Source organism: Homo sapiens, chromosome 17 (assembly GCF_000001405.40).
Source record: "Homo sapiens chromosome 17, GRCh38.p14 Primary Assembly".
Classification (NCBI taxonomy): Eukaryota; Metazoa; Chordata; class Mammalia; order Primates; family Hominidae; genus Homo; species Homo sapiens.
Window position 1 is genome coordinate 64,534,458 of NC_000017.11, and position 25,892 is coordinate 64,560,349.

The following is a 25,892-nucleotide window of genomic DNA, read 5'->3' on the forward strand; positions in this document are numbered from 1 at the left end:
CCACTGGCCCCCCACACGTGACATACTGCCTGAAGACATCGTGATGGGGAGTGAGGCAGATGAGAACGCTGGAATCTGCATTCCTCTTGTCCTTACCCTTCTCTTCCCTCCCCTTTCCCTTTCTTAGCAAGACTTCAAGGACTGCATTCGTAGGCAAAGGTTGACCCAATCAAAGATAAAAGAAAATCGACAGCAAATCGTTCGTGCTCGAAAATATTATGATGATTATAGAGTTCAGTTGTGTGCAAAAATGATGAGAATGAGGACCCGGGAAGAAATGGTAAGTCTGACTTTTCTGTCCAGCCCTGTTAAGAAGGTGAACTTTGTTATCTTTCAGGACCACCTTCTTTGTTCGTGACTCTTGTCCAAATTTGAATCCAAAATCTAAACTGAAGTCCTATAGTGCTGGCCCTGAGTTCTGCTTGGCCACACTTCATTTTCTTACTCCATTGTGCATTCCCGTCCATTCTCAGTCTCCGTGTCCCTCATCTTAATGTGAAGTCTTACTTCCTCCCTGCCTCCTACACATAACAGGTACTTCTCCAGTAAAACTACTTTAGAGGTTTGGGAACATGTGAGAGACAAATTTAGTGTGATAACATGACCTTGCATTCCACATAAAATCAGGACTAGTGTCCAGCTGTGCTGTGAGGGGTTTTCCACAAGGATGACATTTGCTATGTCATCCTAATCAGGCTGTGAAATGATTAACCTTTTGAGATCCCAAGCTAGCAATAAATTTCATCTGTAAAATATTTTAGTAATTATAGTTTACTAAAGACTTGGACATATTTCTAGAGGAAGGCTTTGAGGAGAGCGTAAGTAACTTGTCTGTAGCTCATGAATGCGTCGCCGTCAGAACCAGTTTTTCTATCCAGAATTTACACTGATGAAGGGAGGACAAGTGCGCATATCCAAGCCCTTTGAGCAGTGTGTTTTCCGGTGGCCTCCCCAAATGATCACTCCCCCTCCTCAGTGATGTACATGTGTAGGTGTGGCATGTTTCTGCTCTTGGCGTTCTTACCCTATGTACATGGCTGCTTGACACTGCTTTTCTGAAGGTTGTAAAGAACCTCTGTGATACATGAAAAGATAATGAACACCTTCGTCATTAGGGAAATACGACTCAGAACCACAGTTAGAGGACGAGTGTTGGCAAGGATGTGGAGAACTTGGGGCTGTAAAATGGTGCAGCTGCTTTGGAAAACAATCTAGCAGTTCCTCAGAAGGTTACCAAAAGGTCATATAGAGTTACCCTATGACCCAGCAATTTCACTCCTAGCTATATAATCACACAAAAAACACAAATGTTCATAGCATTACTTATAATAGCCTAAAAGGGGAAACAACCCAAAGTGTCCATCAGTTAATGAATGGATAAAGAGTGTGCATTCATTCATACAGTAGGATGTTACTTGGCAATAAAAAGGAATGAAGTATTCATACATACTGCAGTATAGATGAACCTTGAAAACATGCGGAGTGAAAGAAACCAAATACGAAAGGCCACGAATTACATGATTCCATTTTTAGGAAGTGTCCAGAATATGCAAATCCATGGAGACAGAAAGTACAGACTGGTGACTGCTAAGGATGGGACAGGGGGAATGAGCACTAGTCAGTATACGGTTTCTTTTTGGGGTGGTAAAAATGTTCTGTAGTGGTGATGGTTGCACAACTGAGTATAATAAAACATACTGAATTATTTATTTTAAAAGGGTAAGGCTGGACTCAGTGGCTCACGCCTGTAATCCCAGCACTTTGGGAAGCTGAGGTGCAAGGATTGCTTGGGACCAGCCTGGGCAACATAGTGAGACGTCATCTCTCCAAAAAATTAAAAATTTAGCCAGGCGTGGTGGCACATGCCTATAGTCCCAGCTATTTGGGTAGCCAAGGTGGGAGAATTGCTTGAGCCTGGGAGGTCAAGGCTGCAGTGAGTTGTGACTGCCCCACTACACTCCAGCCTGGGTGACAGAGCAATAACCTGTCTCAGAAAAAGGAGGTACATTTTATGGTATGTCAAAACATCTGAATAAAACTAGTATTTAAAAAAAAAAAACCTTGGGAAATACAATCAGTATATACCTCTAGTTGGCCAAAATGATATTCCTCAATGACTATTTTTACGATTAAATAACTGACAGATATTTAAGAAACTGTTTGAAGAAGGTTTAAACATTCAAAAGCAAAGATTACGAGACCTAAGAAACTATGCCAAAGAAAAGCGAGATGAACAAAGGAGACGCCACCAGGATGAACTGGACTCCATGGAGAACTACTATAAGGACCAGGTGGGCTCCTGGCACTTGCTTACGCTGTTGTGCTTAGTCCTGACCACTTGCCCTTGTGGCAAAACTTGCTTAGTCTGTTGACAATAAACCTTGTGTTAACTGAAGTTTGCACTCTACAGATTAGAGGACCCCATTTCAAGATTGAAATTTAAGATCAAATAATACCTGACCATAGTACAGTATATTTCCCTATTTCCATTAAAATGATTTTAAGCCTGTGAACATTAAGAAATGTTACATTTGGACTACAAACATTAAATATAATATTTGTTTTTTTTCTTCCTATAAACAGTTTTCATTGCTGGCAGAAGCCATATCACAGGAACATCAAGAACTTAAAGCCAGAGAGAAATCTCAGGCCCAGGTAATAATTAAGATAGAAGCCAAGTCATGCACTGCATGGCAATGTTTCTTTCAGCAAGGGACCTCGTACATTGGTGGTTGGAGCAATAGGCTGTATCATATAGCCCCGGTGTGCAGTGGACTGTACTCTCTAGGTTTGTGTAAGTACACTGACATTTTGCACAACAACAAAATCATTTAATGATGCATTTCTTGGAACATATCTCCATCATTAAGTGACACATGACTAATTTACATTTTTAGGAAGTAGAAAACCAAATGTATTATACCTGTAAAGGGAATGGAGAGAAGACTAATAAGGCAATCCATCTATGACCCAAGACATTTTTATCCTATGATTTTAACTTTAGTTAGGTCTCTGTAAGAGCTGCTGTTGCTAGATTATTGAAAATTTTGGAGGAGTTTGATTAGCTGGAAGATGGAGAGGGAACAATAGATGAGGGCCTGGATAAATGCTGTGAACAGCGGGATGACATGCCTTCTTTTTTCAGACATTACATAAGGTGAAGAGGGAGCTGAGATCTAAGATGGAGAAGGAAATTCAGCAGCTGCAGGACATGATAACACAGAATGATGATGATGTTTTCTTCCGGGAACTGGAAGCTGAGCGCTTCAGATCTCGGCTTCAGCTGGCTTCCTTTCAGTACAGTAAAAGTCCCTCCCTATGAGGCCAGACTTGATAATAGTAGGTGAAGGTTCTGGAGGCCTTTACCAGGACAGAGCTAGAATCGAGCCAGTAAACAGTCTAAGCCAGAAAAATAATTTTCAAATGCTTTACCTGTATTTTCATTCCAGTACTTTTTATGATTTTTTAAATAAAAATTGTTTTCTAAAAGCTTATTGCTTTTGAATTTATGACCTGACACCTGAAAAGGGGAAAATAATCATTAGTCGTATTTGTGCTAAAGCAAGTAACAAGCCTTGTGTGAGCAGCCAGCTCCTGAAGTTTGTTGCTTTAAGTCAACAAAAATAATTAATTAAGAATTAGCACTTGAGGACAAAAAAATACTATATTATTTCTGATTCATGAGAGAAGAAAGGTGGGTGGTTATCAGAGGTGGGCCTCGGAGAACCTTGACAATACCATGTATGTGTAGACTTCATAACATGGCTGGACGATGAGAGACTATGCATTACGGCAGTTGGGTGCAGAGGCTCATGCCTATAATCCCAGCACTTTGGGAGGCTGAGGCGGGTGGATCACTTGAGGTCAGGAGTTCGAAACCAGCTTGGCCAAACCTGGTTTCCCTGGTTTAGTACAGAGATGGTGAAACCCTGTCTGTACTAAAAATACAAAAATTAGCTAGGCATGGTGGCACTCAGCTGAGGCATGAGAATCGCTTGAACTTGGGAGGTGGAGGTTGCAGTGAGCTGAGATTGCACCACTGCACTCCAGCCTGGGCAACAAAAGTGAGACTCTTTCTCAAAAAAATAATAAAAAATGCATTATGGTTTCTGTTGGTTGGCAGAAGATAGATAGATAGATAGATAGCAGTGAGAAGAGATAGATAGATAAAGGGTGGAAAGCCAGGCTGTCATTCAAAGACGCATTAGTGACTTGAGGTGGGAAGGAGGCATGATGATGGGTTTCAAGTGGGCAAGAGTGCACCAGCCTCATATCTGGTATGGAGGAATACGAGGAAAAAAAACCCACTTGGGGGCGGCGTCATCAATGAAAAGGGAAGGCTACACTTCTTTTAAGCTAGAGGAAGCTTCAGAGCAGTTGAGGATATGGGGACTTGGAAGCCAGGGAGTGGCAGAGAGAGGCTTCCATTAGAGCATAGAGAGTGCTGTGCGGATGAGTGTATGTATGATGAGAGGCCAGGAGGCCTGAAGCAGTGAAAACTGACCTAGAGAGAAGACATCTGGATCAACTGCTGTGGTTCCAAGTGCTGAGCTCTTGGAATGGAAACTGGCAGAAGGGTGGGCCACCAGGCAGGCGGGAGCTTCCAGCGGGGAAAGGCTTGATGGACTGGGTGTGTCTGGAGCACAGTAAATGACATACAGACCCCTGTGATGTGTTGTGACAATTCAGCAAGCACAGGTGAATGGAAAGGACAGGAAATGCACAAGATGAGGCTAGATACGCAAGAGCTGGAACATAAGTTCTAAAAAATGTTAAGCAGAAGATAAAGTAGATCTAGATAGCCATAAAATACTGAGTAAAAAAGTTTTAGACTACAAAATACGCAGTTTTATAGAAAAAAACATGGTATGAGTGGGTATTATACATATGATGCAATATAAATATGATACAGAAAAGATCCGGAAGCATGGCAGATGTGACTCTTGAGTGGTAGATTATATAATACCATTAGATCTGTTAACACAAGCCTAACGATGCTTTTATTATGATTTTTTTTTAAATGTAAAATATTTTAGGAAGACTGAAGTTGCTAGTTCTGGTGATTGGTGGGAACTGGTGCTCTTTACCAAGCTAAAAAGTAACCAGGAATAAACAACAAGAGAAAGAATTTATGAGAGAATTGGTCAGGGAAGGAATAGGATTGCTCAGCAAAGGTCAGAAAATAGGAGACAACATATTTTTGAAAAATCAAAAGCAAATAAAGATCACTTCACCAGACTAGCTTAGCAAGCAGAGGACAGTGCGATTCAAGTGCTGTGGATTGTGTGCATCAAGCCAGTCAGCGTGGAGCAGCCCAGGAAAGATTCATCACAGTCATGCATTTGGAAAGTCCTGTGGGGGGTGTTACAGAGTGAGGTGCTTGGTATTAGAACTAAATGCCTCATCTATCATAAGGGACTAACCAGACAATATTTAAAATTAATGAAAAGCCCTGCCTGGCCAACATTAGTGAAACCCCATCTCTACTAAAAATATAAAAATTAGCCGGGCATGGTGGCGCATACCCTGTAATCCCAGCTACTTGGGAGGCTGAGGCATGAGAATCGCTTGAACCTGGGAGGTGGAGGTTGCAGTGAGCTGAGATTGTACCACTGCACTCTAGCCTGGGCAATGGAGCAAGACTCCTACCAAAAAAAAAAGCATTAAGAATACTTAAGTGGGGAGGAGAAACATCTTAGGTTCCCTTGCCAATCCCACAGACTGCACCACAGCGTGGTGGTGCTCACCTGTAGTCCCAGCCACTTGGGAGGCTGGCATAGGATCAACGTGAGCCCAGGAGTTTCAGGCTACAGTGCACCATGACTGCGCCTGTGAAATAGCTACTGCACTCCAGCCTGGACAACACAGTGAGACCACAAACACACATTCAAGTCTGGGATTCAGGGCCTTGCTGAGGTGGGTATTTACTCATGTGCTCCCATCATGACTGACTTTGCTGTACATAAATTGAGCTTTGAGCACTTAAGTTTGAACTTGGCCCACAGTGAGACACAGACTAGAAGCATGACTTTGGAAGTTCACTTTCTAACCACCATGCAAAGCTATATGGCTATCAGCTAGTACAGAGCCTGGCATGTAGCAGGAGCATAGTAAATATTTGTTGAATGAGCAGCAGACAAGTCACATTTAGGGCAGATACCTTTTAAGTAAAATTTAAAATCTGGTCTGTCTAGTTTGCTACGAATGTTAACATAGGAATGTAAAGTAACACTTCTCCTGCGTGATTACCTCCTTTATCCTGTTACTAGGCTCTTGTTCTGTTGCATATATCTTATTGTGTGTATATATATATATATATATATATATATATAGTAAGCATTTGGTATATGAAGTACAAATCAATGCAGTGGGTAACATGGTTAACCTTCATTACAATGAAGGGACAAACTTCAGGTTAAACTTCTGATCATTAGTCAAATCAAACTTGGATAATTTGTAGACTATTATAATACTAAAAAACAAAAAATTGTTTTTGAGACAAGGAAGGTCTCAGTCTGTTGCCCAGGTTGGAGTACAGTGGCTCAATCATGGCTCACTGCAGCCTCGGCCTCCCAGGGCTCAAACAATCCCCCCATCTCAGCCCCACCTCCAGTAGCTGGGACTATCAGCCACGTGCCACTGCGCCCAGCTAGTTTTCATATTGTTTGTAGAGATGGGGTTTCGCCATGTTGCCTAGGCTGGTCTCAAGCTAGGCTCAAGAGATTCACCTGCTTTGGCTTCCCAAAGTGCTGGGATTACAAGCGCAAGCCACAGCACCTGGCCTAATTTTTTTTTTTTCTTTTCCTGAGACAGAGTCTTGCTCTGTTGTCCAGGTCGGAATGCAGTGGCGTGATTTTGGCTCACTGCAACCTCTGCCTCCTGGGTTCAACTGATTCTCCTGCCTCAGCCTCCCAAGTAGCTGGGATTACAGGCGTCCACTACCACACCTGGCTAATTTTTGTATTTTTAGTAAAGAGACGGGGTTTCACCATGTTGGCCAGGCTAGTCTTGAACTCCTGACCTCGTGATCCGCCCATCTCAGCCTCCCAGAGTGCTGGGATTACAGGCGCGAGCCACTGCACCCGGCCAAAAATCTTTAATGTACTAAAACTTTATAAATTTTAGATAAAACCAGTAAACACAGCAATGAGGGACAAAGCAAAACAAAAATATTCAAAAGAATATTAAAGCATATAAACAAAAGCATGCTCACCCTTTGAACTTTAATACACTGCTACTACTTACACATTTCCCAGGTGTTCCCTTCTGTTGTACCCTATGCTGTGTAGACTTACACAGACCATATTCATTCCTTTTCTATCCATAGAGTTAGCTGGACTTTAGTCCACTATCATTAATACAGTAGTGAATTATAAACCTTAAAATCCACAGCTTCTAGAAAAAATACAATTGATTTCTCCTTTTCATTTTGAGAATTTTACTGCTCGACATACCAAGGTAGGGCTGGCAAATATGAGCCCCTGTCATAGGCCTGCCCTACAGAGCGGAGATGTATTATAGCAAAGATGGTTGCAGACTGGTGACAGGACCAAGATGCTCTTCCCCACTAGCCCCTGACCCCCCTCAGAAATCCACCTATGCGGTACCCCCAACAGGTACTACCAACTGAGCAGTCACCACGGCCGGAGAAAACGGGCACCTTCCCTGCTCTGCGAGGAGACAGAAAGCTGAGCTCTGCAACATGACAGAGGCATCAACTCAGGATGGCATGTGTTCTTGAACTTTTCATTTTGTGACTCATGTTGTCACCCTCCATAGAGCCAACCATAAATGTTTTCAAAACGATTCATTACAAACTCAATATTCTTTAAAAACGTTGATGCTGTGACAGTGCAAACAGCATTGATTTTATTGCTCGACTTCGGCATGGGCACATACATAGTTAATTTTTAAAAACCATTTATACAGATGTTACTGATAAAGCTCATGTAACAAATGAATGAAAATACAAAGAATATCAAAGCTAAAACACTCTGTAATAAATACAAATACAATGAAAATGATAAAACTTTGTTTTTAAAGTCAGTCTGAGAGAAGAATATTACATAAAGTGAACTAATTACATCTAGAAATAAAACAACTCAGCATTTGGAACAATCATCCTAACATGTTAAATACCACAAATGGCACCCGTTGACTGTACGCTTAGAAAACAAGCAGAAGGAGCCACTCTCCCAAACTAAGGATGGTTGGAACAGCCTCTAACTCCCAACAATCCAATCAGTCCAATGCACTGGAAATTCAAAGCCCAGATTTAGTGTTGTAAAGTAAAGCGAATTACATTGTATTTGAAAGAAGAGAATCTTGTGCTCCGGACTGTAAATACATGAAAGAAAAAAAGGCTTGGTAAAAAACCCATTCGGGGCAACAAACTATGTGCAAAACAAAATGTACACTATACACTATACACTATGCACTATTTAAAAACTACACCAAGATACAAGGCCCTCTGAGGCAAGACTTACCTCTCTGTACTGCCTATGAGCTCTACAAAGGAATCTCTGTTCATAACTAAGCATTCATGATGGAAAGGCAAGAGTATGAAAACAGATATCACATATCTGAAATAACAATACAGCTAGAGGGAAGACAAGAAAAAACCAGTTAAGAGGGACATGGAAATAAATATTCACATTAAACATGAGGTGCAAGTCCATGGTTCAATAATACATTGGGGGTTTTTGCTTAGCACCTATTTGGAAGTAATCGGGTAATGTAACTTTGAAATGGAAATCTAAATCATGTTTTTATATATGTTGGTGATAACATAGACTGTTATGGAGAGTAATTTCTTTTTTTTTTTTTTTTGGGCGGGGACGGAGTCTCACTCTTGTCGCCCAGGCTGGAGTGCAGTGGTGCGATCTCGGCTCACTGCAATCTCTGCCTCCCAGATTCAAGCAATTCTCCTGCCTCAGCCTCCCAAGTAGTTGGATTACAGGAGTGCGCCACCATGCCCGGCTAAATTTTGTATTTTTAGTAGAGACAGGGTTTCACCACGTTGGCCAGGCTGGTCTCGAACTCCTGACCTCAGGTGATCCGCCCACCTCGGCCTCCCAAAGTGCTGGGATTACAGGTGTGAGCCACCATGCCCAGCCAATTTCTTTCTTTTAAAGCTCTATTAAGTCATTAGTATAAAGTTAAAAAGGCACTCAAAAAGCAATGGTATTTGCCTGCTTTATATTGTATATTAAAATAAGTGATAGTAGCATTTCATTATTACTGTATCCCTGTCAGTTATGATTTCTGTATTCATTATGTACTTTTTTACTGAAAGATTTTAAAAGTAGGCACAATTATAAACTGCACTAGTGCTTTAATATAAAAGAGAGATGGGTCTGCAACCAGTAAAGTACTATCATGACAGCTGAACATTACTGATTATCAAATAGCATAGAAACCACTTCCATACATTTCAAGATGCTCTTCAGTACTCAGAATGCAATGTAAAAAAAACAAATTGTTTGAGAGGAAAAAGGTAGGCATAAGCATATTACCACTGCACAGTTACAACTATGACTAGCTTGCTTGTGGCAGTTGAATTTGGCCAAATGAAATACATTAAAATACTTAAAAACTACACAAGTAGTTCTCAACTTTTTTAAAGCAGCAAAATCTCCACTTTTTTTATCCCATCCATTCCTCCCCGCCCCACTGCACCCCATGAAAGCTTACTTGAAATTCCAATATACATAAGAAAAATGGGCTGTTCTGGGTAAAGGGGGTGGGGATATGGAGCCTAAGGCCCCTGCTCAAATACCAACTAGGCCTTCCCCCTCGCTCCCTCTCATTGCCCCTCTTCTCTTAAACCATTACTCCTGAGGCACCCCTGAGGAACCCTTTGGCTCCAAGAACACAGACTGAAACCCACTCCATCACATGAAACAGAACACAGAGGACCTATTTACTTGATAACTTTAAATTTTGCAGCTTAATTATCATGAAAATTTGCTTATTTCACATCAATGTAAAAAAAAACTGATAGTACATATTTTTGATGGTTGAATTTAAAAATCCAACTGTGATTTCAGATTTTTTCAATCCCTCACCCCAGAGTTTTCGTTGCTTCTGGATCATTCAACATGCACGCACCTTGAAAGCTAAATCTGGACGTTTCAAAATCAGATGCAGATCTTCAACACCAAGGGAAGCGGGATTCCCTTACTTCCAAAATGAACTCTTCAAAGTAATTTACGCCATAGAGTTAGAATCACTGTTCATACTACCGCCCCTCAACCCCACTTCATTCTGTTAGGTAAAAGCAGGATTTTCTAAGCTTATTAATAATCTTTAGAGCAAAATTCTTCCTTTTTCATAACTGTAGCTGATTAAAATTATGAGCAGTTAACGCTTTAGGATGGTTTTGTTAATGGAAACTTACACTGTAGTTAAAATACAATATAAATTAGGTGCACTTGTCAGAGACTTTGGTTTATAGGAATAGTCCATATATTAAAGATAAGCTGACCCAGCAAAATAACGAAAATCCCATCCCATCCACATGCTCTGAGAAGCTATAAAAATGCAGTATTTTAAGATTAAAAGTAAATCCAAAATACCTAATCATATTGACTCAAGATAAAAACATTAGGTTTTTTTTTTTTTAAAAGAGTCTCTTAAAAACAGGGAGCCCCTGAACACATCTTATTGTCACAAATAAATGACTAAGTTTAGACTAAATGGTTGCATTAGGAATTTGACAACCAAAATTATATCGCTGTATTCCAGGAAATCCGTTCTTGAAAAATGTAAAAAAGACCCACTTAGACTAGGTTGAAACATATAATGCAAAATATAATGCTCTGCTATAGAAAAACACAAACATGTAAATGGCTTAATTTCTTAAAGATGATTCTTTTAGCCAATTGTTTACAAAGGTAGAATAATTCAAAATAATTTTATTTTTTTTTACAAAGAGCAAGTACAGGAGCTGTTCAAGATCATGTATTCAATCAAAATGAAATGTGACTTGTACCGACTGCTGAAGTTGTCTTGATGTTTGAGAGACTTGAAATCTGTGAAGAAATTTGAATAGATTACCTTTTATAAAAATAGTAGTAGTCTTTAAGTGTAGAATACTGCCTAACTCTGGAAATGTAGGAAAAGTCAGCATTCTTTAGGTTCAAGATATTAAGTTTAAATAGCAGCTGAATGTGGCCTCATGGCAAAGCATAAAGACCTTTTTTTTCCTTGAAAAGGAATTTCAAAATTGTCCTTTCCCCTCACAGTGTCCTAAAATGTAAAAAAAAAAAAAAAAAGGGGGGGGGGGGGAGTGTTTTCCTGTATTTCAGCATATTCTTTGAAACTCTGCTGAAAGGAGGCTGTCAGTCAGGGTTGTATAAATAGAGTCCTGGGTAAATCCTTGAAGCTTGTCATTCCACAGCAAATCCACATGTTTCTTCAATGGCTGTTAGCAGCTTTTCATATAGCTTTTCATAGCTTTCATAGGGTGGAATGTCTATTCGATTGAAGCTGTGAATAAGCAAATCAAATTTTATACAGTTCATTCAAAATAAGTAAACTGGCCTAGCAAGTGTATACCAGTATAGCCACATCACTCTGTGTCACACAGAAAACTAAAAGGTATTTCTCTAAAACAGAGATGACCACTTTTGGGTTTTCCTACCAATTTCCGAATAATCTTAACTTTTAAATCACTTAAGTTGCTTATCATTCCCTTTAAAGGCCCATTTAACACTAGTAAGTACAATAAATAAAAAGTCAAATCTGTTTGGAACTAACACTTATGTACATGGAATGGGGAATACAGCTACAAAAATACCTTACCAAGTGTGGGCTTTCGGCAGGTTGTTAGTGCAGGCATCAATCTGGTGTATGGTAAAGAGTCTCGGGCCTGCAGCACCTGCAAATGAAGGAAATGTGGATGAAATCACTGCAGGTGCGTGCATTAGTCTCCAAAATCTTAAGAATAAAACTGGTAAGTTAACCACAGGATCTGGGGATAGGGGAATGCTAATGAATCCACACATACTACCAAAGGGCAGCAGGAAAAGCATCTGGGTTTTAAGAGCCAGAATTAACCTTGGATAAGGCTTAGATTCCGTAATAGGTTCACATTTCCATTTGAGAAAAAACTCAAGATTGAAATCCCTTTCTCAATTTCTATCTTTTATAGAAAGTCAATATCCCAAAAGCATGAGAAGAAAAGTAATCAGGCAAATCCAAGGTAAAATACATAGGCACACATTCAAAAAGATGACGACCTGATGCAAATTTAGATTTCATGACTCAAACTGGGCTGACAGCAAAAGAGCCGTCTATAGAATCCATTTCAGTTCGCACAGGCACCCCATATAAATACATGTAGCAGAAATACAACTTCACTTTATGCATCTGGGAAGTGTGAGGATGAGGAGCTCTCCTTACAGAGAAGGGCAGCACAGCTGAAAGCACGCTCTCCCCCCAGGGATTTCAGCGCATGCGCTGTGGGCAGCACTGTCGAATTATGTACCAGTGTCGCTTTGTGTGTCCTTATTCATCACCAGCAGCTTTGAAAATGAAGTGCTTAAGAGGTAAAGGAAGCAACTGCCACCCAGTGAAGCACCACAATCATTAGCAATATTACCAGCTCCTCCCAAAATTAACCAGCTTATTCCACAGAAAACCATTCTTAAAAAAGGAATATGGTTGTAAACAAATGGTCTGATGCCATGCAGTAATTAAAATGCTCTGACCGAACAGATGGTTTCCATGACCCATGCTGCTTCTGTCTAATAAGAGAAAGAACGAAAAGTAGAGGGGAGAGGCATCCCAGGCAGGTAAACGTTTCACCAGGTCAAGATGTGAACATGGAAGTGAACGACTTCCCTACAGGAATGTGCAACAGAATTAAAAGTAAGGTGACCAGAAAACAAAGGCAGAGCATCACCACGTACGGTCTCTAGCATGCGGCACTCACTACAATCAGAGAAGCCCGCAGAAAAGGCTCTTGGGAAGGGAACAAAAGAAAGGAGGGAGAAGAAGGTATCACAATGTGAGAGTCACAGATAAGAAGTGAAAAAGAGAATCTCTAAGCACATGGTTTACAAAATATCTCCACAGACCCCACGCTGACAGCCCCGCCCCCACCCGCTGCCCAGCTTGCCTGCACCTCAGGCTGTTACCTTGCAATGCTTTGAAGCCCTGCAGAGGCACTCGAGAGGATCCTGTCACAAACTGAAGCAATCTTGCTCGTCGCTCTTCATCAAAAAACTCCACAGCTTTCCAGAACCATTTGACAATGTTGCTGTCTGGTGTACAGTGTTTTAACCGGGTGTTTACCTTCCAGTCATTAACATCTATCTTTCCAAGTCCACAAATAATGAGCTGTGAAAATAGTACACAGTAATGAACCTGTGGAAACCACAGCCAGACCAAAAATTCCTCAAAAGAGAACTTTAGGTTTGTACTGCTGGCTGTCATTTGGTGGTTCCTAATTAAAGATGCACATCAGAATCATCTGAAAAGCTTTTCAAATTGACATTCCAGGTCCTAGGCTCAGAGATGTTAATTCTGTGCACCTGGGGTGACAGTTGGGATCTATATTTTAAAAAGCTCCAGAGATATCTACTCACTGCAAACTCCCTCTCCAGGGTCTGAGAACCACAGCTGTGATAGACTTGACCAGGTAAACAATTGAGAATGTTTCATAAGTTCATAATAAAATTATAAAGCTTTAAAAAAAATGGACAGAAATTGAGACCCAAAGAGTAAATACAGATATGTGCCTTCTTTGGACCTGCATCATCTACTAGTTTCAATACCTATTAGCTTTGTTGATTGAGGGCAATTCAATCAATTCCTCTGCTGTAATATGGTAGTAACATCCATTTCACTACATCCTGGGGAAGCAACCGATAATGCACAGAAACTTCAGAAATGGGTGTTGAATAAGTGAGTCATACAATTTGCTTAATAATTTTTTTTTTTTAAGACAGAATTTTGCTCTGTCTCCTAGGCTGGAGTGCAGTGGCATGATCTAGGCTCACTGCAACCTCTGCCTCCCGGGTTCAAGTGATTCTCCTGCCTTAGCCTCCCAAGTAGCTGGGATTACAGGCATGCACCACAATGCCCAGCTAATTTTTGTATTTTTAGTAGAGATGAGATTCCGCCATGTTGGCCAGGCTGGTCTCCAACTCCTGGCCTCAAGTGATCCGCCTGCCTCAGCCTCCCAAAGTGCTAGGATTATAGGTGTGAGCCACTACACCTGGCCTACATTTGCTTAATAATATTAAATTGATATTAAAGCACAAAATACATGAGCACATTGATACAGACCTCTGCTAAACACATCCTGATGGAGGGTCACACAGATGAACTATATCCAAATCATTTTATACTATCATTAATATGTCTCCCTAGGGTTCAAGACTAACTCACCATACTAATCTAACATGTTTGTTTATAGCAGTGAATTCCATGTATACTATAAAACATAACTTGCAAATCCTGTATTTTATAGAATTACACCCAGGATTAATATATACAATGCTAAAATAAATGTTATACATATTGTCTTTAAAAATTGGTAGGGTGTGGTAGCTCACGCCTGTAATCCTAGCACTTTGGGAGGACGAGGCATGCAGATCACTTGAGGTCAGGAGTTCAAGACCAGCCTGGCCAACATGGCGAAACCCTGTATCTACTAAAAATACAAAAAGGTAGCCGGGCGTGGTGGCGGGCACCTGTAATCCCAGGTAAGGCATGAGAATCGCTTGAACCCAGGAAGTAGAGGTTGTAGGGAGCTGAGATCCCATCAGCCTGGGGGACAAGTGAGACTGTGTCTCCAAAAAAAAAAAAAAAAAAAAAAAAAGCCAAAATAATGTTAGCCAGGCGTGGTGGTGCACACCTGTAGTACCAGTTACTGGGGAGACTGAGGTAGGAGGATCACTTCAGCATAAGAGTTAACAGTGAGCTAGGATCATGGTACTGCACTCCAGCCTAGGCAACAGAGTGAGACTCTATCTCAAAAAATAAAAATAAAAAGTTTAATGATTCAGGCCTGGTGCAGTGGCTCACGCCTGTAATCCTAACAATTTGGGAAGCAGAGGCAGGTGGATTGCCTGAGCTAAAAAGTTCAAGACCGGCCTGGGCAACATGGTGAAACCCCATCTCTACTAAAAATACAAAAATTAGCCAGGCATGGTGGTGCACACCTGAAGTCCCAGTTACTCAGGAGGCTGAGGCACGAGAATCGCTTGAAAACCTGGGAGGCAGAGGTTGCGGTAAGTGGAGATTGTGCCACTGTACTCCAGCCTGGGTGACAGAGTGAGATTCTGTCTCCACAAATAAAAAAAAGAAAAAAGAGAAGAAAAACAAAGTTTCATGACCCATTAGCAGTAGAAACTATATTAAAAATCCTAACCCTACCAAATAAAGTCTCCAGTAAGGCTTCTATGGGGTTCTGAAATAAAATCTCCAACAAAGCTTCTACAGGGTTCACTGAATTAACACCACACTGAACAGGGAGGAGGTTATCCGAAAAGGATTATGGGTGTATTTAATGACATAAAAGACACCTCCTAAATTCTTTTCTTCAGAGGAATGGCAGTTAGAAGGCCAAATCCTCGTTTATTGTATAAAGAGATGAAAATGCATTATATTTCAACCTTATCGGCATTCCTGCTATGTTCTCCTTCTAACTACTTCCTTCTGGCTATTTCACTATGAACAATTCAATCACAAAAGGAATGGGGAGAGTATTAAGTAAAACCAACCTTTTTAGATTTGTTTGCTAACAGGTCTATTAACAGATTTATTTAGAAAGGACATTGAAGGCATTGAATAAAATCATGTTTCAAATTATTAGTAGACTTCAAATATTTGTGTTATCCCTAACTACTAAATAAATTTGGGACCTTTAATAGAATTAAACCTCGTGTTTTTTAGTTGTTCAGTAGGAAATTCAGATGCATTTGTTTAAGGTCTTAATTACAAAACCTGGGGTGTTTAAGGGCCAGCTTTAAAAGGAAACAAAAAACTATTCACTGTTTAGTATGGCCGTTAATCTAAAGACATTTAGAGGCCAGGTGCGGTGGCTCACACCTGTAATCCCAGCACTGTGGAAGGCCGAGGTGGGTGGATTATTTGAGGTCAGGAGTCCCAGGCCAGCCTGGCCAACATGGTGAAACCCCGTTTCTACTAAAAATACAAAAATTAGCTGGACGTGGTGGCAGGTGCCTGTAGTCCCAGCTACTTGGGAGGCTGAGGCAGGAGAATCACTTGAATCCAGGAGGTGGAGGTTGCAGTGCCACTGCCCTCCAGCCTGGGCAACTCTGTCTCCAAAAAAAAAAAAAAAAAAAAGAGAGAGACATTTAGATTCAATTTATCCTAGGTGTTTTAGTTATTTTCTCGATGATCTTGTCTATCAAATGCTTTCTTGCAAGCTTAGTGTAAAACTAATTCAGAGTAGGCTCTTACCCAAATAAATTTCAAAATGGTAGATTAATGAGGTTTTACTTAACTAAATCAGTAACCACTAAGTTAGGGAATAGACATATATTGGAAGAATGTACATATAAGTCACGAAATCTGTTTAAAACAAGAAAGTACAGGATAGAAAAATAAATTAAAAATTTTCACAATATAAGAGAGACTGCTCACAGCTGGGCATGGTGGCTCAAGCCTATAATCCTAGCACTTTGGGAGGCCAAGGCAGGCGGATCACTTGAGCTCAGGAGTTTGAGACCACCCTGGGAAACATGGCAAAACCCTGTCTCTACCAAAAAAAACAAAAAAATTAGCCAGGGGTGCTGGTGCATGCTTGTAGTCTCAGCTACTTGAGGGGCTGAAGGATCATTTGAGCCCAGGAGGTCAAGGCTGCAGTGAGCCATGATTGCACCACTGCACCCCAGCCTGGGTGACAGAGTGAGACCCTGTCTCAGAAAAAAAAAAAGAGAGAGAGAGACAGATTGTTCACTCACAGAAATTCCAAAGCATGAAAGGCCTTCAAAAGCATGAAAGACTTTTCCTGTGAATAAGAATTCTCAAGCATAGAACCATGAAACTTAGAAAGCACCAGAAATATGCTTTCCTCTAAAACTAAGTAACAAAATAATTCCCAATCCTTCCTTGTTACACTAGTGATGTTATAATACTAATGCACTAACCTCTAACTCCTTCTCATCAAATGTCTTCAGCAGATGTTGTGGAATTACTTCATTAAATCCTTTCTGCAGAGCCAAGAATTGAGCCTCAATGCCTCGTAAAAATCTCCAGTTCACATAGAGCCTGTAAACATTCGGCAGGATTTCGTATAATCACATGTATTTTCAGATCTGGTAATTATTATTATAAATCTCTACTTTAGCAACACCGCATCTTACAAGCATCTAACATTAACGGTTTAGCCTCAAGTCTAACAATAAATCTCAGACTAATGGGGATAAATGAACCCTGAGGTGTGACACAGTTCAATGTTGATGAAAAGTGGTAAACTACTAACAAAAGCAGCATCAGCAGAGCAACCCTTCAAATCAGAGAAGCTCCCAGGAAACAGGACGTCTACTAGAGCTGAGTCTTGATGAAATTTCTTTCTAAACTTACAGCATACATGCCAATAACTAGAATAAAGAGCTCTTTCACTCAAAAATGACTTATTTTTCTGATTTTACTTGCAAATGTAATTTGAATGTGTTGGGTGTTTTGTTTCTATTTGAGGGAGGCCTACGGGAGAAGAGGAGGTAGAGAATCCTCATACCAAAAATGAGAAGAATAAATAGTAAAAGCCAATAGCAAGCACTTTTTGATTAAATAATCATTGTTCTCTAGAGGATATAAAAATTCTGGAAGATGTAATTTTACCAATAAAAAAATGCACTAAACTACATCTATTGTGTGAATGTACGATTTATAAGTGAATTGTTTTTATTTATCTACCCAAGAAAACTTCTCCATCTCATGCATCACAGAACTTACTCATCTGTCAAATTTGTTAACATTTCCAAATTTGGAGAAATGGTTCTCTACTTTAAGAAATAAGTTACTTAACATTATATCCTTTGGAGGACCGTATTTTTGTTTGTTGGGTTAAGGGGACAGCAAAACTGTGTAACTGTAAAAGTTTTTCTTTGAATTTTTAATCTAATAACTGTAGTTGGCAAGGGATTATTACGTGCTGTAAACACGACTGAACCCTGAAGAGTGGGATCCAGGGACTGAGTAGGACACACGAGGTCTTGAAAAGGAGACACTGCTAAGACTTAGGAAATTCTCATTTGTTCTTTTTTTATTATTTTTAATTTATATTAGGTGGAGTCTCGTTCTGTCACCCAGGCTGGAATACAGTGGTGCGATCTCAGCTCACTGCAACCTCCACCTCCCAGGTTCAAGCGGTTCTCCTGCCTCGGGCTCCAAAGTAGCTGGGATTACAGGTGCCTGCCAACACGCTTAGCTAATTTTTGTATTTTTAGTAGAGACAAGGTTTCACAATGTTGGCTAGGCTGGTCTTGAGCTCCTGACCTCAGGTGATCCACCCACCTTGGCCTCCCAAAATGCTGGGAATACAGGCATGAGCCACTGCACCCAGCCTGTTCTTTCATTTTTTTTAAGTAGAAACGTAATACATACTTTTTACGTATATAACAAAAAAATCAAACATTAACTATGGAGACAGTAAAATATGAAAGTCCATTCTTTTACCCTCTTTCTCCTTCCTATTTCCAGTCGCATCATCTCCACTCCCTCATCCTAGGCAAAAACTTTATTTGGTTGCAGCCTCCTGAACATCTTCAGTATAATCATAAAAAAACAGCCAGGCACGGTGGCTTACACCTGTAATCCCAGCACTTTGGGAGGCTGAGGCAAGCAGATCACGAGGTCAGGAGTTTGAGACCAGCCTGGCCAATATGGTGAAACCCCATCTCTGCTAATAATAAAAAAAAGTTGCCAGGTGTGGTTGTGCGTACCTGTACTCCCAGCTACTCGGGAGGCTGAGGCAGGAGAATCACTTGAACCTGGGAGGCAGAGGTGCAGTGAGCCAAGATCTTGCCACTGCACTCCAGCCTGAGCAACAGAGCGAGACTCCACCTCAAAAAAACCCAAAAAAACAAAACAAAAAACAAAAAAAAAACCATGGATTTTGTTCCTACATAATTCTTCTAAGACTTACTTTTAAAATTTGACAGCTTATGCACTTTTAAATATCCACATAATATTCTGCTGAATGTATAATATAATCATTCTTCTCTAAAACCATTTTAGTAGTGTAACTTTTTTTCACAAGTAGCATTTAATTGACCGTCTTTCCCCGTATTCGTTCAGTTACATGTGTGTTTCTGCAGAAGAGCCCTAAACACAGAGCTGCTAGTTGAAGGGCACATGCTGCTGGTATCAAACTGCTTTCCAGAAAAGCTATGCCAGTGTTCACTCCAATCAAGTGGACCTCATATTTAAACTAGGAAACATTTTAGTAAGATTTGGGAACATAATCTATACACAGAAAGTATATCATGCAAGTTTCTGTGTACATAAAGTTCAAGTTCAAACTCCCAAAACTGATTACCATAGTTCTATATTTAGAGGACTTTTTATTTCTCATAAGCCAAATTAGCCCAATACATAAAAATTCCTCAATTTTTACTTTATGAAATCTGAAAAACATTTATTTACATTTATCCCTAAACTCACAATGTGCTCATTTATAAACAGGCTAAGTGTTAGTAAGATAAAGCACAAAAGCCCTTCTGAATTGCCACCTGTGATAGCTACACCACATGTGGCCCCAGTGCCCACATCTCCTGGTATTCACACATTTGTACAGCTCCTCCTCCATGATGAAACTGGGCTGGCTGTCTCAGTTTAACCAGAAGTAGACAGCAGAAGTCATGTTGGCCAGGACCAGGCTTAGGCCTTAAAAAGATCTAGCAGCTTCTGCTTTTGAGCTTTAGAAAGCTGGCCACCCCATAAGAAGTCTGGCTATCTTGTTGGGAGAGAGAGTGGCTATGGGGGGAGGGAGTGGCTATGGGGAGAGGGAGTGGTCATGGAGAGAGGGAATGGCCTTTGATATCACATAGGGAGAACCAAGGAACTCAGCCAACAATGAGAACAAGGCCCCAGACAGTGACCCCAGTCAACAGCCATGCCAGCTAGCCCTCAGCCATTTGAGTTATCCTAGTTATGAGTGAAGAGGCCATCTTGGTGTTGCAGGCCTAGCTGACATCTTGTGGAACACCAGTGTTGTCATCCATGTTGTTCTTTTGCCCAATTTCCTGACCCATGGAATTGTGAGAAATAATAAAATGTCTGTTCTAAATAAGCCACTAAATTCTCCTGAAGCGGATTTTGTAACACTAAGTAGTACTATCTAAATATTTAAGTTTGTTCATACTAACATTCTAGAACATTTTAAAAAATTCAGCCTTGAGAACACAGGAGTGTTTACCTGACATATTCTTTTTTATTTTCTTCATTAACAGGGATACTTTTGCCATTTGGTTTAAGTTCATGCTGAATAATTTCACCATATGCATTATGTTCAACACAGAAGGTATGGTCCAAAACACCTGTAATATCATTCTCACTGGATAGGAAAGAGGAAAAGATATGTAACTGGGAAACCTAAAATACAGACCCTATAGATGTATTAATTGGTGAGATAAAACTAAGATCATTTTATAATATAACAAATGTGAGGTCAGATTCTGCTTCCATACCACCTAGTTCTTTCTGGACAGAAAAGTCAAAGAGCTTTAACCTTCATAAACACAGAAAACATTTAACTTCCTGAGTAATGAGAAAGAGCCTTGGTCAAAGCTGGGCCTTGCTAGAACCACCAATATAGGACAATTTCAGTTACATTTGGCATTCTGAAGAGCCCTACTCGGTACTGTACTCCAAGGGGCCAAGTGCCTGTGTATCCCTAGTGAGAAAGCTACTGTATACTTTATAAAAAATAAACATTGCCAGTGTATCTTCACAAAATAATGACCTCTTGCAAAACAGAATCAGTTCTTAGCTTAAATTCAACAATTAGTTCTTATTCTAAAAGTACGGTTCCAACAATCGCCACTTCATTAAAAGCAACAGCAGCCAAGAATTTGCTATTCTAACACACGCAGGTTTGGAACAGAATTTGTATCACATTGAGGAAACAATTATATAAAGTACTTTTAAAAATAGAAATATACTAGTTGTTTTTTCCTTTTTAAAGTAGTAACACTTGCTAAGTTTAAGGAATTTGAAATGTATAAAGAAGCTACAGGAAAGGGGGAAATCATATGCGATCCTATCACTCAAATAACCACTCAATATTTTCTGTGTAATTTTTTTAAGTACATCAGTTTTGAAACATATTTTTTTTTAAAGCTCAGAGTTTATAATGAAGAGATAGAAGACTCAATACATACAGTATCCACACTAAACTGTTGTGAAGATCCGGATCTACTAACTCCATGTCATCCAAGGTAATTGACTTCCCAAGCAATTGCTTATAAAAAGGCAATGTGAAACCACCATCAATATAATGTCCATGAAACACAGCCATTCCCATTATTCGTCCAACAAAGTGGAAATAGGATAAATGTTCCTGAAATTGAAAACAGTATATATACTCGTTAGGCACTACCCAGGAAAATTTTAATAAAAATGAAATATTTCAGCAACATTAATCTTTTTGAGAATAAGCATAAAATTTTTACTCTTCAATAGAGTCAGGAGGGAGTATTTCTCTAGGGCATGCTCCAGAGTCTCTAGATCACCAGAGAACAGCATATTACACAGGGTAATATGCCCTTCTCGCAGGGGCCAGTCATTTTGTAAATTTTATCTTTTAGAAATTAAGTCCAAACTATGGTCCCGGAGCTTCATTCAACTACTTGCAGATCCTTTTCTCTTCCTTCTCTCACCTCCTGCTGAGCCCTTTGTCATGAAAAAAAATCTTTCAATCCTAAACCTCCCTACTTCCTTGACCTAACCAGAAATTAAACATCAAAACACCATAGATTTAAGAGCACAGACTTGGTGTCAGACTTGAATTAGAATCACGATTCTGCCAGTCAATGGCATATGGACAAATTAACCCCCGTAAGACTAACTGTCCACATCTGGAAATATGAGGATAATAACAGTATCTAAAAAGCATCTCTATGAGGAGTAAAATGAGGTGATGTTTGAAACCCATGGAACTGGACCTGGCATGTTATAAGCAGTCAATGAGTCTGGGCTATTGTTACTACAGGGGCAGTAGTGGGCCCTCCAAAAAGAACCTTCACCTCAAAATCCTCCCTAAATAACTTCTTGAAACAAATCTAACATTTCTACCCTTTTATATATATTTGGTCTTTCGTCACAGATTGTTTTGTTAGATGTTTGTATTTTTAAATTCTTTTACCTCTCTATTTACTAAGTAATCTTTTAAGCTCGTCTTTAAACCTTTTATCTTGTTTTTGTTTCTTTTTTAAAAGTAACACACGCGCACGCACACAAACATATATATTTACCAAAGTTGCATTATACTATTTGATAACCTTCGTTTCACTTAACACATCATAAACACCATCTTTCCATATCATTAACTATTATCCCACATTATCATTTTAGTGGCTGTATAGTATGCCCTTATATGGAAAGACAATATAAAAACAATACATTAGTAATAACTGCTAACTTCTGTTGAGTGCTTAGTAATGTAGTTGATAGAGTTGTAGAGTGAATAACATACAGCACTGTGCTAAGTGCTTAATGTGCAGGGTCCCATTTCATTCTCATAACCCCTCTTTGAGGTACAAATGTATTTATTAGCAATGACAAAACTGAAGCTTAAGTCCATGAACTTGCCCTGAAAGGTCACAAAGCTAGTAAGTGATGAGACCACGACACGTCTTTCTAATTCCAGAACCTATGCCTTTAATCATTTGCATTATTCTGCTTCATGTCATAATTTAATCAGTCCCCGCTCCTGAAGACAACTATGTTGTTTTCAGTTGAGTGCTACTATAAACAATAAACATCCCTGTTTCCAAATTGGTGCATATATCCATAATCATCTGCTTGGGAAAATTTTATAGAAGGGGAATTGCTGAGTCAAAGGGCACAACTAAGACAAGGACAAATAATTTCTATATAATAAACTACATTAACATGTAAACATGAAAAGCATTATTGGTCACAATTCACATCATAACTTCAAATCATACCGGATTAACTGCAGAATCAGGATTGATCTGCAATGTATAAATATCATCTCTTGAATACTGGAAGAGGCCATAGTATGGATTCAACATTTCATGTGACAAGAGATACAACCATTCCCTAGAAAACAAGATATGACCAAGGAATTTTTTTGTTAATGTATACATTTTTATTAAGATATGTCATTAACTAATCATTTTAGCAAATAATTATTTAAATTAATAAAAGGCAAAAAAGCACTAACTACAGTTATATAAGATCACATTGGAAAAATCTACCGTACCCAAATAGCATATAAAAACTCTATTATATTGAAGTAACATCTCACGCAAAATTTAGGCAATTTTATTATATTTTAGCATCAAAGAGTATAAAAGTATTATCCAACAGTTCAGCTACTCACGAGATGATACGGTCCAGTGGTCTGTTACTTTTAATTGCCAAATAAATTTGTAATCCATAATAAACATAAAACAAAAGGAAGAATATGGTTTTATTTCAAAATGTCCATGTGAGGCTGGGGACGGTGGCTCACACCTGTAATCCCAGCACTTTGGGGGGCCAAGACAGGTGGTTCGCTTGTGCTCAGGAGTTTGTGACCAGCCTGGGCAACAAGGCGAAATCCCATCTCTACAAAAAATACAAAAATTAGCCAGGTTGATGGCAAGTGCCTATAGTCCCAGCTACTTGGGAGGCAGAGGTGGGAGGATTGCTTGAGCCCTGGAGGTTGAGGCTGCAGTGAGCTGAGATTGCACCACTGCACCCCAGGCTGGGTGACAGAGACCCTGTCTCAAAGAAAAAAAAAAAAAGTCCACGTCATCTCTATTATCCTGGTCTACTCCTATCACGACCAGTTTATACAGACATATAATATAGTATTGATTTACTCTTCATTTTGGACAAGGCTATATTTTGTTGTAGTATTAAGGACATTTCATTATTCATTTCATTATCATTCACTGTATAAACCCTGAAACATACCATGATAAAAATATAAGTGGGCAAGGATTGCAAGGCATTTGGTGTAGGTATGGACTCAAGGGCAAACGTGCATTCTTTGGGTATGTTCCATACCACTTCTTGACTTCAATGTAAATCAATGTTTTTAAAACCTGGAATAAAAAGTACTTCCACCTTGAATTTATTAAAACCTTCAAATTTTTCAAAGTATAAAAGATAATTTGTTACTCACTTTGGAAATTCACTAGTCTAGGACTTAAGAGATGTAGTTCTAGTCTTAATTCTTGTCATTCCTTGGCTAGGGAAGGTTATTTAAATGATATATTTTGATATTATGGATTAAACAGATTGAATAATATTTTTGAGCAAATGCAGAATAGTATTAAAACTAGTTAAAGGAAACTGTTTCAAAATTCTATGTGATGGAGTCTAAATTAAATTACTACCATTATGTAACATTTGAAAAACTACTCTAGAGATTAAAAAAAGAAGTAACGTCTCCACATAAGCAGCCTTCCCAACATAACACTCATCTGATGTGTCTTGTGTTTTTGGTGTGTGTATGTGTTTTTTAAAAAGAAAATCCAAATTTTTGTTTTGTTTTACCAAGTATTTAGAACACAAATAAGAGCAGAACTCAACTACTTTGAGATTCTACTATGGAATAAAGTTCAGAAAAAGCAGATCACTGTCACATTCCATTTATTCTGCTCAAACCCTGACAGTAGTAAGGTTAAAAAACAAAAAACTGGGCTGGGTTCGGTGGCTCATGACTGTAATCCCAGCACTTTGGGAGGCTAAGGCGGGCAGATCACAAGGTCAGGAGATTGAGACCAGCATGGCCAACATGGTGAAACCCCGTCTCTATTAAAAATACAAAAATTAGCTAGGCGTGGTTGTATGCGCCTGTAGTCCAGCTACCCGGGAGACTGAGGCTGGAGAATCGCTTGAACCCAGGAGGCAGAGGTTGCAGGGAGCCGAGATTGCGCCACTGCACTCCAGCCTGGCGACAGAGTGAGATTCCATCTCAAAAACAACAACAACAAAAAAAACTGACTACGAGCCAGGCATGGTGGCTCGCGCCTGTAATTCCAGCACTTAGGGAGGCGGAGGCTGGAGGATCACTTGAGGCCAGGAGTTTGAGACCAGCCTGGGCAACACAAGATCCTGTTTCTACCAAAAAAAAAAAAATTTTTTTTTTTTTGAGACGGAGTCACACTCTGTCACCAGGCTGGAGTGCAGTAGCACGATCTCGGCTCAGTGCAACCTTTGCCTCCTGGGTTCAAGTGATTCCCCTGCCTCAGCCTCCCGAATAGCTGGGACTACAGGTGTGCGCCACCATACCCAGCTAATCTTTTTTTTTTAGTTTTTAGTAGAGACGGGGTTTCATCATGTTGGCCAGGATGGTCTCAATCTCTTGACCTCGTGATCTGCCCACCTCAGTCTCCCAAAGTGCTGGGATTACAGGTGTGAGCCACTGCACCTGGCCAAATTTTTTTTTTTTTAATTAGGCATGGAAGCATGTGCCTATAGTCCTAGCTCTTTAGGAGGCTGAGGCAGGAGGATCACTTGTACCTAGGAGTTCGAAGCTGCAGTGAGCCATGATCACACCACTGCACTCCATGGAGCCTGGGTGACAGAGTGAGACCCCGTCTCTAAAAAACTAAATAAATAAAATAAACTACTTATTTGATCTATACATATAATTATAGTACTTAGATGCCACCAGTAGTTGATGATGAAGTGTTCCCAATAAACATTCACTCTAGTTATGAGTAAGTAATACA

At 39.8% G+C, this 25,892-nt stretch overlaps 2 protein-coding genes across 12 annotated transcripts in view; one reads left to right on the forward strand and one right to left on the reverse strand.

The window, feature by feature from the left end:
• Nucleotides 1-3,489, forward strand: part of CEP95 (centrosomal protein 95) — a 31,185-nt gene extending 27,696 nt beyond the window's left edge. For 4 of the 8 annotated variants that reach the window (NR_133644.2, XM_047437013.1, NM_138363.3 and 1 more), the window contains 4 exons: nt 128-280; nt 2,145-2,291; nt 2,584-2,655; nt 3,146-3,489. Coding sequence is in view for 7 of the 8 variants with exons in the window: in XM_047437013.1 (XP_047292969.1) it covers nt 128-280; nt 2,145-2,291; nt 2,584-2,655; nt 3,146-3,322 (549 nt within the window). In the remaining variant the exon portion in view is untranslated. Of the gene's footprint in view, nt 1-127; nt 281-2,144; nt 2,292-2,583 lie in introns of all 8 variants that reach the window. The other 4 variants (XM_047437012.1, XM_005257779.4, XM_047437014.1 and 1 more) reach the window with 1 other exon arrangement.
• Nucleotides 3,490-7,824: 4,335 nt separating this feature from the next.
• The window catches only part of SMURF2 (SMAD specific E3 ubiquitin protein ligase 2), a 120,026-nt gene continuing 101,958 nt past the window's right edge, over nt 7,825-25,892 (reverse strand). For 3 of the 4 annotated variants that reach the window (XM_005257585.4, NM_022739.4, XM_047436546.1), the window contains 7 exons: nt 23,151-23,265; nt 21,363-21,541; nt 20,399-20,536; nt 17,127-17,247; nt 13,143-13,344; nt 11,806-11,881; nt 7,825-11,490 (listed from right to left, as the gene is read on the reverse strand). In XM_005257585.4, the coding sequence (XP_005257642.1) occupies nt 11,391-11,490; nt 11,806-11,881; nt 13,143-13,344; nt 17,127-17,247; nt 20,399-20,536; nt 21,363-21,541; nt 23,151-23,265 (931 nt within the window). In that variant the 3' untranslated portion in view covers nt 7,825-11,390. Of the gene's footprint in view, nt 11,491-11,805; nt 11,882-13,142; nt 13,345-17,126; nt 17,248-20,398; nt 20,537-21,362; nt 21,542-23,150; nt 23,266-25,892 lie in introns of those variants that run through there. The other variant, XR_007065425.1, reaches the window with a different exon arrangement.